This window comes from Homo sapiens, chromosome 2 (assembly GCF_000001405.40).
Source record: "Homo sapiens chromosome 2, GRCh38.p14 Primary Assembly".
Lineage (NCBI taxonomy): Eukaryota > Metazoa > Chordata > Mammalia > Primates > Hominidae > Homo > Homo sapiens.
This window is the reverse complement of record NC_000002.12, coordinates 62,685,520-62,701,732: the sequence shown is the minus strand read 5'-3', so window position 1 is coordinate 62,701,732 and position 16,213 is coordinate 62,685,520. Positions and strand designations below refer to the sequence as shown.

The 16,213-nt window shown below is 37.1% G+C and overlaps 1 protein-coding gene across 5 annotated transcripts in view; it reads right to left on the bottom strand.

The window, feature by feature from the left end:
- EHBP1 (EH domain binding protein 1) overlaps nucleotides 1-16,213 on the bottom strand; it is a 372,610-nt gene that overhangs the window by 344,755 nt on the left and 11,642 nt on the right. For 2 of the 5 annotated variants that reach the window (XM_047443745.1, XM_047443748.1), the window contains exon 1: nucleotides 2,784-2,858. The exons of the other annotated variants lie outside the window; for them this stretch is intronic. The gene's annotated coding sequence lies outside the window, so the exon portion shown is untranslated. Of the gene's footprint in view, nucleotides 1-2,783; nucleotides 2,859-16,213 lie in introns of those variants that run through there. 5 annotated transcript variants of the gene reach the window in all.

Genomic DNA, 16,213 nt, shown 5'->3' with positions numbered 1-16,213 from the left:
TGGCAGGCCAATACTTTTAAAATTTTAACTGATGGTTTCTGTAGTAGTTGTTTTTCCAAGTGTTAAATATTTCCTTTCTTGCTATGGCTTTTCTCCTCTTATACCCCACCCCAAGATCCTCAGCATTGCACTCACCCTCATTTAGGCCGGTCTTTGCTCATTGTTACAGCAAAGGAATATAACAGAATGTAGAAAAACAAAAAATTTTTTATTGGTTTTTGAGTTTCAAAAGCCTAACCTGTTGAGGAATAATGAAATGGAATCCTGTTAGAGACCTGCACTGTTCGCCTCTAACCACATGTGACTATTGAATACTTGAAATGTGGCTAGTCCCAATTGAGATGTGCTATAAGTATAAAATATATACTGATTTCAGACTTAGTATGCAAAAAAGATTAATACATTAATAATATTTATATTGATTACATATTGAAATAATATTTTGGCTATATTGGGTTTATTAAAGACAGTAAAATTAATTTTACCTGTTCCTTTACTCTTTTTTAATGCAGCTACTGGAAAAATGTAAATTATATATATGCCTCACATTATATTCCTATTGGACAGTGCTGTTACAGACAATAGTAAAGCTTCCTTTCCCAAAGATGAGAAATGAGTTTCCTGGGCTGGAAGGGAAAGACAGAACTTGGAGGGGATGTAATGAGAGCTGGATGCTAGTGGATTTCTGAGAGCAGGACCTAATCCCACCCTATTCTGGCACAAACTTGGGAGAAGGGCAGCTGAAATGATAGGATCTATCTATGGTATCTGAGAGCTAATAGAAATATTTTTCTCCTTATTAGAGTCCTGGGGAGGTGGCAAGACCCTTAAGAGAAGAAAAAACTGGGTTGTTATCTAGGCCAGCCAAGATTTTGGAGTGGCACAGTCCAGTAGAACTTTCTATGATGAATATCTACATGGCTGTCCAATGGAGTAGCCATGAGCCACTTGGAACTACTGGACATGCAAAATGTGGCTAGTGTCACTGAAGAAGTTGAGTTTTAATATTATTTAATTTTAATTTATTTATTGGCTACATGTGGCTGGTAGCTACCATAATGGACAGTGCAAACTTACATAGTACTGTGGAGGTTCTGGATGCCCAACACAATTTCCAGACACCCAGAGGGGTACAGAGGCACTGCACAGCCACCAGACCAAAAGAGTCCTTGCTGATGATCCAAAATCAACCCAGCAACAATCCATGGAGCTGGCTGCTAATGAAGATGAATATTAGAACTCTAAGAGGAGCCAGCATAGTAGATGAGAAGCAAGGATTAAATGCCCCATCCCCTTCCCCCAACATAGTGATGCTATGTAAGCCCCCTCAATTGAGATGCAGTTCCTGCCAAATTGACTATGATTAAGTGTTTGCCACCCCTTGTGAAATCAAAGCTTGAAATAGAAATTAGGTTGAGTAATGGGAAAATAAAACTGTGTTTCTTGCCAACCTGAATTTCTTTAGATTGAGATTTATGCCTGTTATATAACCTTAAATAATAACTCTTAATAAAATAATTTAAAACCTATGTTTATTCTCTTAAAAGGTGGCCTTTTTTTTTTACTCTATCATTATAGGACCCAAGTTCTTTGGTTGACATAAAAGCTTAGAAAAGCTGCATTAGAAAACCATCTTTCAATTAGGAACAGTATTCTTTGGTGAAATTGTTTCTGTTGCAGTTACCCATGAACGAATATTTGAAGTTAGTCATAATGAAGCTTTGCACATTGAACCTAAGATTGCACTAATTCTAGGACCTCAGTTGTATACTAAAAATACAATTTTGTCCAGCTCCACAGCATCTAGAAAAGACCAACATGGGCTTGGTTGCTAGAGGCAGAGGAGCATTCTTGACTTCCTTGAAACTCAGGTAGAGACTGAAGCAAATCTACAGATTCTATCCACTGGTGATTCGGCAGGACTAACTTCTGTTGTTAATCTGGAGCAACACAGTGAATGACTAGAAGCTTAGAAATCTTTATATTGCAGGCAACAATGATATTCAAAGTGTGGACATTCAGTGTGTTAACAACATGGCATAGGCATTGATCAGTTAGAATGGATGACAACTGTAAACGTTGGCCTAGTTGTCCCTTTGTGGACTAACTAAATACCAGCCCTAACTCTAGAGTGCCCTTGCTGGTCTATAGCATCCTCTCAATCTAAGCCTTCTAACTACTTAAGATACTTTCATAATGGTGAAGTCCCAGTCCACAAATGTGTATGTCAAGGTAAAAGCAGCTAGCTGAGATAATTTACATATTGCAAATAAGTGGGCCATTACTGGGATTATAGCAGCAAAGATTTGAGTTGGAATTAAGACCTCAGCTGAGAAAGTCATTGCTAAATTCAATAAATTCATCTCCTATAAAATCAGCAGGGATTCTTGACCAAGACTTACTGGTCATTTCCCATGAAATGTTAAGAGCCTTTGGCAAATTATAAGGGGTAGACTGACCTTTGCTTCACTTCTTCTGTGTTTTCAAAAACTGGAAAAAAAATCCAGGTAACCAGATACAGCATCCAGCCAGTGTTTTCCTCTGAATAATTCATAGATGATTATATTTGTATGAGCAAGATAATATAATTAATATCATTCTGAAATAATAAGGCTAGACAGGAAAGGCAAAGAAAAGCTGGTAGAAATTCATAATCTTGGAGGGCATTGACTACAACCCTTGTGGTGTAAAACCAAAGCACTTCCATCCCATACAGTACAAAGAACACACACACAAAAAGCAAAATTTCAAAGCAAGCTGAAAGCAGGCAAAACTCCACTTACCAGGGCACTGGGCATGAGCCAAGGGAAAGTAGCCCTGTTGCTGAAGCTTGTCCCAGATGAGTAGAGCTGGAAAATAAACCCAGCTTTCAAAGGGCAGGATTAACTCATGCACAGTTTGGGCAATCTTCTGGGCAGGGCAAGATAGAGAAAAATTCCAGGGCAAGGGCAATAACATGAGAGCCAGAGAGAGCTGCAATATTGTTCCAGGCCTCTCTTTTCACAGCAAGTCACCCAATTAGTGACTGGGCTTACAGTGATCAGAACGTAGCCTGGGAAGCAAAGATGACTTTGTGAGAGCCGCTGGATATTTCTTCATATTCTGTCACAACTTTTGGATGCTATTTTAAAATATTCCCAATAATGCATCATTGATCTCTTTCTCCAAGAAAAGAAATTCAAGTGTTGAGCAAGTCAGGTTTTTGTGCCATAGTTCAATCTTCCGAAGAAATCCTGCTATCTTTAAAATTTTAAAAATCACAATATTTTATCCCTGAAATAAGTTGAGTCTGTTTTAGATATTGAACATAGTACTGAGTTACCTATATTGAGAGAGCCCCTTGAAACAACTGTCTTGCATTATCAGTGTCCCATTTCTCATTTCAAAAATGTGTGAGCACCTGCTAACCAGCATACTTCAGTGTGGAAAAGGAGAGTGTTATACTTGTGCATGTTTCTTCACATAACACATGCTAAAAAGAGCATATTTAAAGGTCACAACTTGATTATATTTGAAATATTCACTCTTTTCTTGAACAATTAAAGCAAGAATAGGAGGCATATTGTTAACTGTTCAACTTCTCTTATTCTTGTAATAACACTCTTTCTAGCTATTCACAAAACTACCTTGTGCCAATCAGTTTGTTTGCCATGTGTCTTGTCCAGCCTACAGCTGAACAAGATAACAATTACCAAAATCCTGCAGTGACTTGTCAGTGATAAAAAGACCAACTTGTTGAGTACTTCTCTCTAACACATATAGAGCTGTAACATGAAATTGCTGCACAGCGTGTATAATGGGACCTGGTCTTCAACATTGTATGCTATGGATGTATGCCCAAGAATGTTACTGGATCAGTTTTGCCAATAGTTCATTCTGTTTTCTCTTATTAATTTCCCTTAATAATATCTTATTAACTTTCAGTTGACTTTGCAAGTTCTAAGGCAACAGGTTCAAGAGTACAACTTTGAATGATAGCTTTTTCATTTTGATTTTCTTTGATGATATTTTTAGTGAAAAATCTGTTAATTTATTAAGAAATATTCAGTGAATAATTATTAAGGTCAAAGCATTCTGGTAGGTATTGGGAATGCAGCACATAAAAAAGACAAAATCCCTGTCCTCCTGGAGCTCATATTTCTCTTCTATTAGAAGTCATTGTTTAGTATTTCCCTTAGAAAATTTCAGTTGATGAGAGGTGACCGTGCTTTGTTTAACAATGACAAAAAACCTGAGAAAAGTGTTATAAAAGACAATGTGCTGGGGACTAACATAAAAGGATCACCCACTCAATAAAATCCAATTATCAGATGTGTATTATTGTACTTCCAGCTCTTTCCTTTTGTTGTGGCTGCTTGTGCAAAGTCACATAGAGACTTGTCAGAACACATACAAATTTATAATCTATATTTGCACTGGAGTCCTGTTTACAATTTATGTTTTTAAAATTTGAATTGTAGTATTTACATTATTATTTTTATGATTTACTGAATAGAGACATTGATTTTTTTAAGTTATGTCTATAAGGCAACATGATTGTAACTACAAATATGCAAAACTAACACATGCCAAAATTGAAATTACATTGTCTGAGAGAAATGATCTGCAACCTGTTAAACATCAGCCAAAACAATCTGATTAACATATTCCCTTGAGCTCACATGCAACTTTCAAGAGTGTAATGGTCATTAAGAATGTGACAGAGTTTTAACAAACACACCCATCCTATTTAATTTCCCTTTTCACTCCTTAAATTATCAAAAAATTTAAAAAAGAAAACAAAGGCCTATTTTCACTGTCTTTTCCTCAGAAATATTTTAGCTTCTTCCTAGATATCCTTAGAGATAGAATAATTAAAGGTTGTTTTTTGTCTTGTATGTGTTCTGTGATTTTTTAAATGTTAAAAAAGAAAAAAAGGTCAGGCGTGGTGGCTCACGCCTGTAATCCCAGCACTTTGGCAGGCCAAGGAGGGTGGAAGACGAGGTCAAGAGATGAAGACCATCCTGGCTAACACAGTGAAACCCCGTCTCTACTAAAAATACAAAAAAAAAATTAGCCGGGCCTGGTGGCTGGCGCCTGTAGTCCCAGCTACTTGGCAGGCTGAGGCAGGAGAATGGCATGAACCCGGGAGGTGGAGCTTGCAGTGAGCAGAGATAGCGCCACTGCACTCCAGCCTGGGCAACACAGTGAGACTCCGTCTCAAAAAAAAAAAAAAAAAAAAAAAGAAGAAAAAAAAGAAAAGAAAAGAAAAAGAAAAAAGAGAAGAAAAAGGAAAAGAAAAAAAAAAGCTGGGCATGGTAGCTCACCCCTGTTATCCTAGCATTTTGGGAGGCCAAGGTGGGTAGACCAGCCTGGCCAACACAGTGAAACCCTGTCTCTATTAAAAATACAAAAATTAGCCAGGTGTGGTGGTGAGCGCCTGCAATCCCAGCTACTTGGGAGGCTGAGACAGGAGAATTGCTTGAACCTGGGAGGAAGAGGCTGCAGTGAGCCAAGACCGTGCCACTGTACTCAAGCCTGGGTGACAGAGTGAGACTCTGTCTCAAAAAGCAAAGAAAGAAAGAAAGAGAGAGAGAGAGAGAGAGAGAGAAAGGAAGGGAGGGAGGGAGGGAAACTTCAAAGAGATTACACAAACAGCTTTATGTTAATGTAAAAATTATGTGATACGTTTTCTTTTTTAATTTCCTTTGTATTTTTTTTACAATAAAAAATAATGATTAGGCTGGTCATGGTGGCTCATGCCTGTAATCCCAGCACTTTGGGAGGCTGAGGCAGGAGGATCACTTAAGCTCAGGAGTTTGAGACCAGCCTGAGCAACGTGTCAAAACCCTGTCTCTACAAAAAATACAAAAATTAGCTGGGTGCGGTGGCACACGCCTGTGGTCCCAGCTACTTGGAAGGCTGGGGTGGGAGAATCACTCGAGCCTGGGAGGTTGAGGCTGCAGCAAGTGGTGACTGCACCACTGCACTCCAGCCTGGGAGACAGAGTGAGACTCTGTTTCAAAAATAAATAAAAATAATAAGGATTAAACGTGTATAATTGTAGTTTTAGATCGAAGATATTGTATAAGCCATCATTCCATAATCTTTAAAATGTTCTCTCGCTATCTAAAAGCTTTCCATCTATAGTTTCTGATTATAAATCATATCCAATTGACAAAAATGGAAACTCTCCCCCAAATAAATCAATTACTGGTTCATCTAATGTGTTCTGATTCTGGATCTATTCTGCCCATTGATACACTCCAGTTGAGAGATTAAAGAATCTTCTTTCACAAAACGTTTTATTTCTAGAATGTCTTCTGAATTTTGTAACATAAACAGAAGGATGAGTTTTCATTGACCTTTCATTGACTTTTTTTTTCTCTTTTTGAGACAGAGTCTCGCTCTGTCATCCGGAGTAGAGTGCAGTGGTGTGATCACGGCTCACTGCAGCCTCGACCTCCTGGTCTCAAGTGATTCTCCCACCTCAGCCTCCCGAGTAGTTGGGACCACAGGCACACATCACCATGCCCACCTAATTTTTGTATTTTTTTGGTAGAAATGGAGTTTTGCCAATGTTGCCAGGTCTCAAACTCCTGGGCTCAAGCCGCCCTCCCTGCCTTGGCCTCCCAAAGTGCTGGGATTATAGGCATGAGCCACTGCACCCAGTCTTCACTGACATTTTATTTTGTACTTGAATTGCTTTAGGACTGTGAATTTCATGATTCTGCTGGGCGTTTTCCTCATATCCTCTAATTCTGGCTCATGTTTAGCTCCTCTCTTATTTCCCCTCTTATATATGACATATACATATACTTACATATACATATATGTGTGACATAAACATACAAAATTCTGGGAATATTGGTAGAATTATTAGGAAAGACAAGCTCTTTCCTCTGGGACTGATTGCTATAAAGATAGGTATCCTGCTGCCAGGGACCTCCACTGGAGCAAGTCGAAGAAAAAAGCCAAAACAGAGGAAGCCAGGAGATGAAGCAGAGAGAGTTGCTTCATTTGCCTCATCTGTAAAATGGGAATGGGAAAATGATAGTTGGCTACTGGAGGTGAGGTGCTGGAAGAAATAAGCTCTTAAGACCCCTTCCAGCTCTAATTTGGTCATTTTTTTAAATGTCTACCCTTAATACAAGGATATGTTTGTGACATTTTAAAAGGCAGTAAGAGTTTCTCCACAGTTGTTTCCATTATTATCTAGTTTTTGCTGTCTTAAGAAGTTTTTTTTTTTTTGTCATGGGAGGGAGTGCTATTTTTGGTGATTTTTGTCTAGCCTTAATTTTTCTGATCAACTAAAAATTGAAAACTTATAGTCACAATTCCCATAGAAAACATGAAGGCAGAATGATGTCTTTTAGTAAGATATAAGATATCATTCCTAAATATACCAGTTCCTAATTCAATTGTTTATACCAAGTGCTAAAAAGGAGAGTAATTATAGATCAATTTAAAAAGCATTAATAGAACATATTGCACTTTCTAGAGTATATTGTTGATAACTTCAATGGCAATCTAGCCCAAAGAGTTTAATCTTTTCCAGTATGAATGAAAAAGAACGCCCTTAAGGAGTGATACCCATGACTTGCAATAATTTCTTTAATGTTCTTTGAAAATTAACAGTACAGAAACAACCAAATACAAAAATTACCACAAAATGTATCATTAACCTAAATGTTAACAGCTAAAACTATAAAACTGTTAGAAGAAAACAAATAAATCTTCATAGCTTTGGGTTTGGCAATGGTTTTTTAGATACAGTAACAAAAGCAAGAGCAACAAAAGAAAAAAACAGATAAACTGGACTTCATCAAAATTTTAAAATCTTATACCTCAAAGACACCATCAAGAAAATGAAGATAGACAAATATTACATGTTCTCACTCATATGTGGGAGCTAAAAAGTTGATTTTTCTGGAGGTAGATGGTAGAATGGTAGTAGCCCAAGGTTGGGAAGTGTAGTCGGGAGGGGAGAAGAGAGGTTGGTTAATGGATACAAAAATAAAATTCACTAGAAGGAATATGTTCTATTGTTTGATAGCACAGTAGGGTGACTATAGTTAAGAATTTATAGTATATTTCAAAGTAGCTAGAACAGAAGATTTAGAATGTTGCCAACACAAAGAAATGATAAATATTTGAGGTGACAGATATCCCAATTGCCCTGATTTGACCTCTACACATTGTATGCACTTGTCAAAAACACACATGTATCCTATAAATAAATACAATTATTACGTATCCATTTTAAGTGAAAAAATAACCAACAGATGGGAGAAAATATATGCAAACCATATATCTGATAAGGTACTTGTATCTAGAATATATGAAGAATTATTACAAGCTCAAAGACAGACAAATGATACACTTTAAAAATTGGCAGGAAATCAGTATATTGGAGAGATCTCTGCACTCCCATGTGTATTGAATCACTATTCACAATGCCAAGATTTGGAAGCAACCTAAGTGTCCGTCAACAGATGAATGGATTAAGAAAATGTGGTAGTTATACACAATGGAGTACTATTCAGCCATAAAAAAGAATGAGATACTGTTATTTGCAACAGCATAGATGGTACTGGAGGTCATTATGTTAAGTGAAATAAACCAGGTATAGAAAGACAAACTGCACATGTTTTCACTTATCTATGGGAGCTAAAAATTAAAACAATTGAACTCATGGAGATAGAGGATGGTTACCAGAGGCTGGGAAGGGTAGTAGGGGAAAGGGGTAGGGGTCATGAGGATAATTAATGGGTATAAAAATATAGTCAAAATGAATAAGATCTAGTATTTGATAGCACAAGAGGTGATTACAGTCAACGATAATTTTTTACACCCATTAAAATAGCTAAAAGAATATAATTGTATTGTTTGTGACACAAAGGATAAATGCTTGTACCCTGATGTGATTATTACACATTATATGACTATATCAAAGTATCTCAGGTACCCCATAAATATATACACCTACTATGTGCCCACAAAAATTAAAAAAAAATTATAATACAAAATATAATGAAAATTGGCCAAGAATTTAAATTGACATTTATCTGAAGATGATATACATATAAATGACCAACAAGCACTTGAAAAGATGTTCAATATAATTTGCCATCAGAGAAATGGGAATCCAAACCACAGTAAGATACTACTTTACACCAATTAAAATGGTTTAAGATCAAAGACAGACAATAACAAGGGTTGATGAGGATGCAATAAAATTGGAGCCCTCATACCTTGCTGGCAAGATTGTAAAAAGGAACAGCCACTTTTGAAAACCAGTTTGGCAATTCCTCAAAATGGTAAATGTAGAGCTACTATGACTCAGTGATACCACTCCTAGGTAAATACCAAAGAGAAGTGGATGCATATGTCCACACAAAAACTTGTGCATAAGTGTTCACAGTGGCTTTATTCATAATAATCAAATAGTGGAAGAAACCCAAATTCTATCAGCTCATGAATGGATAAACAAAATGTGGCATTATCATACAATGGAATATTTTTCAGCAATAAAAATGAATGAAGCATTGATTCACGCTATAACATGGATGAACCTTGAAAACTATGTTAAGTGAAAGAAGCCAGTTGCAAAAGACACATATTGTATGATTACTTTTATATGAAATGTCCGTAAAAGACAAATCCACAGAGACAGAAAGTTCAGGCACATGAAGGAGTTACTGCTAATAAATATTGGCTTCTTTTTGAAGCGATAAAAATGACCTAAAATTACATAGTGATGATGGTTGCACAACTCTGAACATACTAAAAACCACTAAATTGTACACTATTACTAGGAGATACTGTATTTGATTTATATCTCAATAAAGCCATTAAGAAAAATAAAACGATATAGAAAGAAACCACTGCAGCCACATTTTACTAAAAGTCACAAGAAAACTGAATATGCTAGAGCTCAGCAAAATATAATATTCTAATACAGAAATTTAAAATATGAATGTTCCCTACTCTTAAAGTTTTGAGATGTGGGTTCTAGTTTTTCCTGGCCTCCAACCTGCAGCCTGGGACAAGTCACTTAGGTTTAACACCATTCTGTTCATTTATCAGTAAAATTAAGGTAGTGGATTAGAGGATTTTCAGTTGAGGGGAAAATTTAGGAGGTCTGGAGGAGTTCAGAAGCAAATATTGTTAGTTGCCTGTCAATACCCATTCTCCTTTTTTCTTCTCTAGAAATAAAAACCCCAATTTCTAAGTGAGCCATTTTCACTCAGCTAATGACCTGCCAGCCTCCTTTACAACCAGATATGGCTATGTGCCTAAGTTTGGCTAAGTCTTGTGTATAACTTCTAGAAAGTCTCCTCCAAGGGAGGGAGTGTGCCTTTCCTTTCTGTTGACGGGATACAGATGGGTTGGCTAGAGCTTTAGCGACTATCTTGGACCATGAGGATAAGGGATGGCAAAGTATCAAGCTGGAAGAAGCCTGGGTCTCTCACAAATTTGTAGAGGCACTACATTTGCCCTGAACTGCCTATCACCAGACTTCTTTCATATGAGACAGAAGTAATCATATAAGACAAAGTTATTTTGGTGGGATTTTTTTCTGTCACATATAAAGATATTTAATTCTAACTAACACAGTCAGCTTATGAAGGATAAAAAGAAAGGGGCATTTTTAATTGGCTTGGAGGCAAGTTCACTCTTTCAAAAAATTAAAGCCCTCTTTCTAGATGGAACAACTTTCTAAGTTAACCTGAGGGCACGCAAGGGCTCTTGATTTGATCTTCCAAAAGATTGCCAATAATAGCAAACATCTAGAACTGTACAAATGCATTTGTCATCACAGCACCTGTCTCCTCTCCCTGGCATTTTCATATCAGCTAAGATCAGTGACAAAATTCTAAACACTGCAGGTTTCAAATTTGATTGGTGTATGGGGAGAGGGCAAAATCCTTCCTTTGAAATAGGTGTCCAGTGGGATTCTTATTTCTTTTTCATTCTGTCTCAGTTTCCTGACCTTGACTAAATCCATATGGTTAGTTAAGTGTTTCTTGAGGGGCGCAAAGGACTTTGTCTCCCTGGTAGGAGACAAAGTTTAAAAACCATCCATTCTTGGTTATGAGAGCCTTATGTGGCTTTGTAAGTGGTATTTGTTCACAGTCTTACTCAATCTTGTATAACAATTTTTTTTATTTAATTAATTTATTTATTTGAGATGGAGTCTTGCTCTGTCGCCCAGGCTGGAGTGCAGTGGCATGATCTCGGCTCACTGCAACCTCCACCTCCTGGGTTCAAGCAATTCTCCCTGTCTCAGCCTCCCAAGTAGCTGGGATTCCAGGTGCCCACCACCACACCCAGCTAATTTTTGTATTTTTAGTAGAGACAGGGTTTCACCATCTTGGCCAGGTCCATCTTGAACTCCTGACCTCATGATCCACCTCCCTCGGCCTCTCAAAGTGCAGGGATTACAAGCGTGAGCCACCGTGCCCAGCCACAACAATTATTTTTTTCACTTCAAAACCCCTATTTTTAAAGACACATATACTCCATCATCCCCAGTTGGGCTTTTTCTGCTACCCCCAAGGAGGCACCCAGAGGCTTTGTCTGCTAAGTGCTATGCTGCAGGTGACTGTTAACTAGACTGCTTTCACAGCCTCCCAGATTATTGAAAGATGGCCCAGTCCTTCTACTCTTCAGCAGGTCTGCCTGAAACTTCAACTATTATAGACAATACCAAATGTGATTAAAAAGTGGACTTAGCACAGTTCTCTTATGAACCAAGAAACTTTAAAAACATTCATGCAGATTCTGTCATAAGAAGAAATATGAAAGACTAACAAAGCCTGATAACTCTTTTTCACTTCCTAAAGTTATAAACACTACTGCTTTTTAGTAGTAACTATTAATGCTTTCTGTGTATACTTTATCATTCATCCATTAAGGACTAAAACGTCACTTTAAACACAAGAACAAATAAACATGCAATCAAATGGTTTCATCAGGAAAAAGTCAGAATTTGATAATAATGTAATCATAATATAGCCATAAGATTTGGATTCTTGTTAATGAAAATAGACACAATTTTTAAAATTATTATTATTATTATTTTGAGACAGAGTCTTGCTCTGTTGCCTAGGCTAGAGTGCAGTGGCACAATCTCGGTTATCTCCGAGACCTCGGTTACCTCTCGGCAACCTCCACCTCCTGGGTTCAAGCAATTCTCCTGCCTCAGCCTCCCGGGTAGCTGGAATTACAGGTGTGTGCCACCAATGCCCGGCTAATTTTTGTAATTTTAGTAGAGACAGGGTTTCACTGTGTTGCCCAGGCAGGTCTTGAACTCCTGGCCTCAAGCGATCTGCCCACTTCGGCCTCCCAAAGTGCTGGAATTACAGGCGTGAGCCACCACACCAAGCCTAAAAAATTATTTCAGTAATAGCTATTTTTGTTTCATGAAGATATATCATAATAGATTCTGAACCAGCCTCCTTTTATTTCTGTCATATTTGATTTTTTCTCTATTTAGGTTATACATACTGATATTTCTTGTTTCCACAGCTCACTGAGGAGGCACTGAAGTTTCTGTGTTTCAATCAGACCAACTGACTTGAGTTATTGCATTTAAAGGCACTTTGATAAAAATAACTATAGGCTTTGAAAGTTCTTTCTAATTTTTAAAATATTTGTGCTGGCTTAGTGACTATTAAAAAATAACAGGCTTCAAATGATTCAAACATATGCATGCAATTCTGGGACTCCTGAGTAATGGGATGCACACATTCTTACTTGGGGTTTTATTAAAATGACCTTCTCAGTATGCATACCAGGACCCTTCATGAAGCAAAGCCAGAAGAGTCATTCCAAAACTTGCATGTAGTCCTGCATCACTCCTCGACCAAAAAGGGGGATTAATGTACAATTTCCAGTTTGTGAAGAAGATGAAAAAAATGATCTCATTTTGATTTGCCCATTTCAGAAGTGTTTGGTTTCTTATGCTTTTTCTGTGATTAGCCTGGGTAGGAGGAAAGGCAAAGTGATGAATGAAAGTTAAACATTGCCTGTTCTCATCTGTGGAAGCTAAAAAAAAAAAGTTGATCTCATAGAAGTGAAAAGTAGAACAGAAGATACTAGAGGCTGGGAAGCATAAGAGAAAGAGGGGAATAGGGGGAGATTTATTAAAGGATACAACATTACAACTAAATAGAAGGAATAAGTTTTAGTGTTCTATAACACTGCAGGATGACTGCATTTAATAATAACATGTAGTTTTAAATAGAAGGAGGATATTGAATGTTCCCAATACAAAGCAATGATAAATGTTTGAGATAATAGTGAATTACCCTGATCTGATCACTATATGTTATACATATACAAAACATCACTATGTACCCCATAAAGATGTATAATTATGTGTCAATGAAAAAAATTTTTAATAAAATAAAATAAATGTCCAACACATAGAAGATACTCAGTAAATACTGATTCCCTCCCTTTCTGTTGCTTCTGAGGGGAGCGTAGAGTATATAACATTGCTGATTAAATTTACAAACTGTAAGGAAGGAGATGGCATTACTCTCTCATGCTATTGGAAATATCCAATTTTTACATCCAATATTAAATTACTTTATTCAGTAATTCTCTCTCAAACCAAAAATCAGAGCCCAAGAGAGATAATTCATTTTTAAAAATATACTACTGGATATATCACTTTGCTGCTTTTGTGAAAGTTAAGTTCCAGTGAGAAAGAAAGCTGAGGAATAATTTCCAGAGTCTACTTGTCTATGAAAGTCCCTCTCTTCTTTCAAAAGTAGGCACATCTGATAGTTAATGTACTTATCCAGTATGGTAAAGAAGCCACCTATCAGCTCATTTCACTTGAAAACTTTGACAGTAACTACTTTGGGACTGACTCACTCTTACTATCTTTCTTTCAATCTATTCAACCTCATACTTTATAAGGACACACTAACTCTTGTCTCCTTGATCTTTTCATAGCGGGTCTGTGCAGATTCTGGAGTCTTTAGCAGTATCTTTAAAGGAATATCTTTTTTCTTTGTATTGGAACCCTTACAAACCATTTCATAGAACATAGCTGGACTCTCGTACTTAGATTGGCACATCAATCCACAAAAAAAATTGGGAGAGTTCACTGAGAAATTGATATGTCAAATCACAATGCATTTGTATTGAACCTAGATAGAAATACCTAGAAAATTAGGCAAATAATAAGTGGCTACTTGGAATTCCTAAACAGTTTATACTTCTACACAGATGGGAAACCCATCTATTACGACCCACCTATAGATTATCTGGGAACTTCAGACTTCTGCTAGTACAACTGGGATTTTCCTACATCTCTTTTGTACTACTAGAAGACTTCACATAGGTGAACAAGGGAGATGAGCTCAAGGCAAAACAGTTTCTGAACTTTATTATTTCCAATATTCAAAACGAAGGTTTTCTACCTCCTTCCATCAATAGGAAAAATGCCTTTGGGTTTGAAGAAGAAAGACAGTATTTAAATAAAAAGTTTACTTTCATCTTATAAATTAAAGGGGAAATGATCATAGAAAGACAGTGTTTAGAACTGGCAGGGATCTTAGAGAATATTTAATTCAATCCTCCTGTTTAAGAATAAAGAAAAAGAGACCTGGAGAGGATTTATGTCTGCTTCAAGTCAAAACAGCTGAAGACAGGAGGTAGCATTAAGTGGTGGAAAGAGCGTAGACTTTGGGTTGGCAGTGTGGATTTGAATACAGCTCTTTTAGTTACCAGTTGAATGGTTTCTTTATATATAAAGTGGGGATAATAGGGCTTGTCTTTAGAGTTGTTATGAGGAGTAAATGATGTAACTTATGTAAAGTACCTAGAACACTTGTTGGTACATAGTAAGTGCTTGACAAATATTTATGTCTTTAAAGGAACCCAAACCAGGGTCTTTTGACAACTTTTGTACACTGCACTGCACTGTTAATACAGCTGGCCGAAAGGATTCAAACATGTGTTTAAAATAAGAGATTCCAAATGAAATAAATGGTGTGCAATATTAAATAATGTTTTTAAAACATTCGCTTACCATTAATGCAAGCGATACCCAGTCCTTTTCAGATGAAATAAAATGTTCCACTTTTCTCAGTGGTTTTAGCTGTTTCCAGATACACACAGCTCAGTACAAAGAGATGACACAAGGGACTTTTTATCTGCATTGCAGAGAGCAATACGGTGATAATTTGCATTGGAACTTGCCGTTAGCTCCATATGGCATGTATTCATCATTTAGTGGGTTCAGTGCCCTATCTTTAGAGCTTCAGCGATCAGGATAGAAATTGCCCACTTATTTATGCTTGGCTGGACTGAAAATATAGGGAGAGGAAGAAGTGCAGGGAAACACCACTCTCTGCAAGACTTGGCCCTGGAATTAGGAGTAAAGCATTAACACTAACTTGTCGAGCAATAGCTGCTTCTGTCCTAAAGAGTAGACAAAATGCAGATGATATGCAGTATATTATTTATGGGTTGCAATCATGCATGTTATTCTTGTCTGCCCCACAAAGGACCTGTGGTTTAATGTAGAGCTGTCTTCCTTTTGTTCAGCACAAAGCCTCACTCACACTGGGCAAGTGGGCATTTCCAATGGCATGTCATCACTTGGTTTGTATGAGCAACAGGAGAAGTTGCTCTCAAAAGTCAAACTAGGAATTAACCCACTCCCTTCCCATACATCTCCCTCAGAAAAGAGAAATGGAGAGAATACTATTTTTTTTGTCCTTATTGAAAGTAAAGTGACAAATGGTTTTCTCTCCCATTGGAAAGTTAAAGAATCAGTCCCTTTTATACAAAAAGAATTTTGATTTTTCTTCAATTTGTTGCTCTAAAAGATTATATAAATCATTCAAGCTGAAGATTCTGGTTTTATATCCATTAGTAATCAGGATGATGATCTCAGTGATGAGAAGAAGGGAATTCTGAAACCTACCCCCTCCTCCCCAACCCCCAATCACTGTAATAAGCATATATTTAGCTCTAGCATTCTAACACTGGAGCAAAAGGTGCTGCCGCTTATAAGCTCTGGACTATGAACAGATATTATGGACTGATGTGGGTTGAATTGTGCTCCACCCATCAAATTCATATATCAAAGTCCTAATCCCTAGTACCTCAGAGTATGACTTTATTTGAAAATAGGGTTGTTGCAGATGTAATTTGTTAAGATGAGGTCGGCAGGTGGACCCTAGTCCAATATGACTGACGTCCTTAT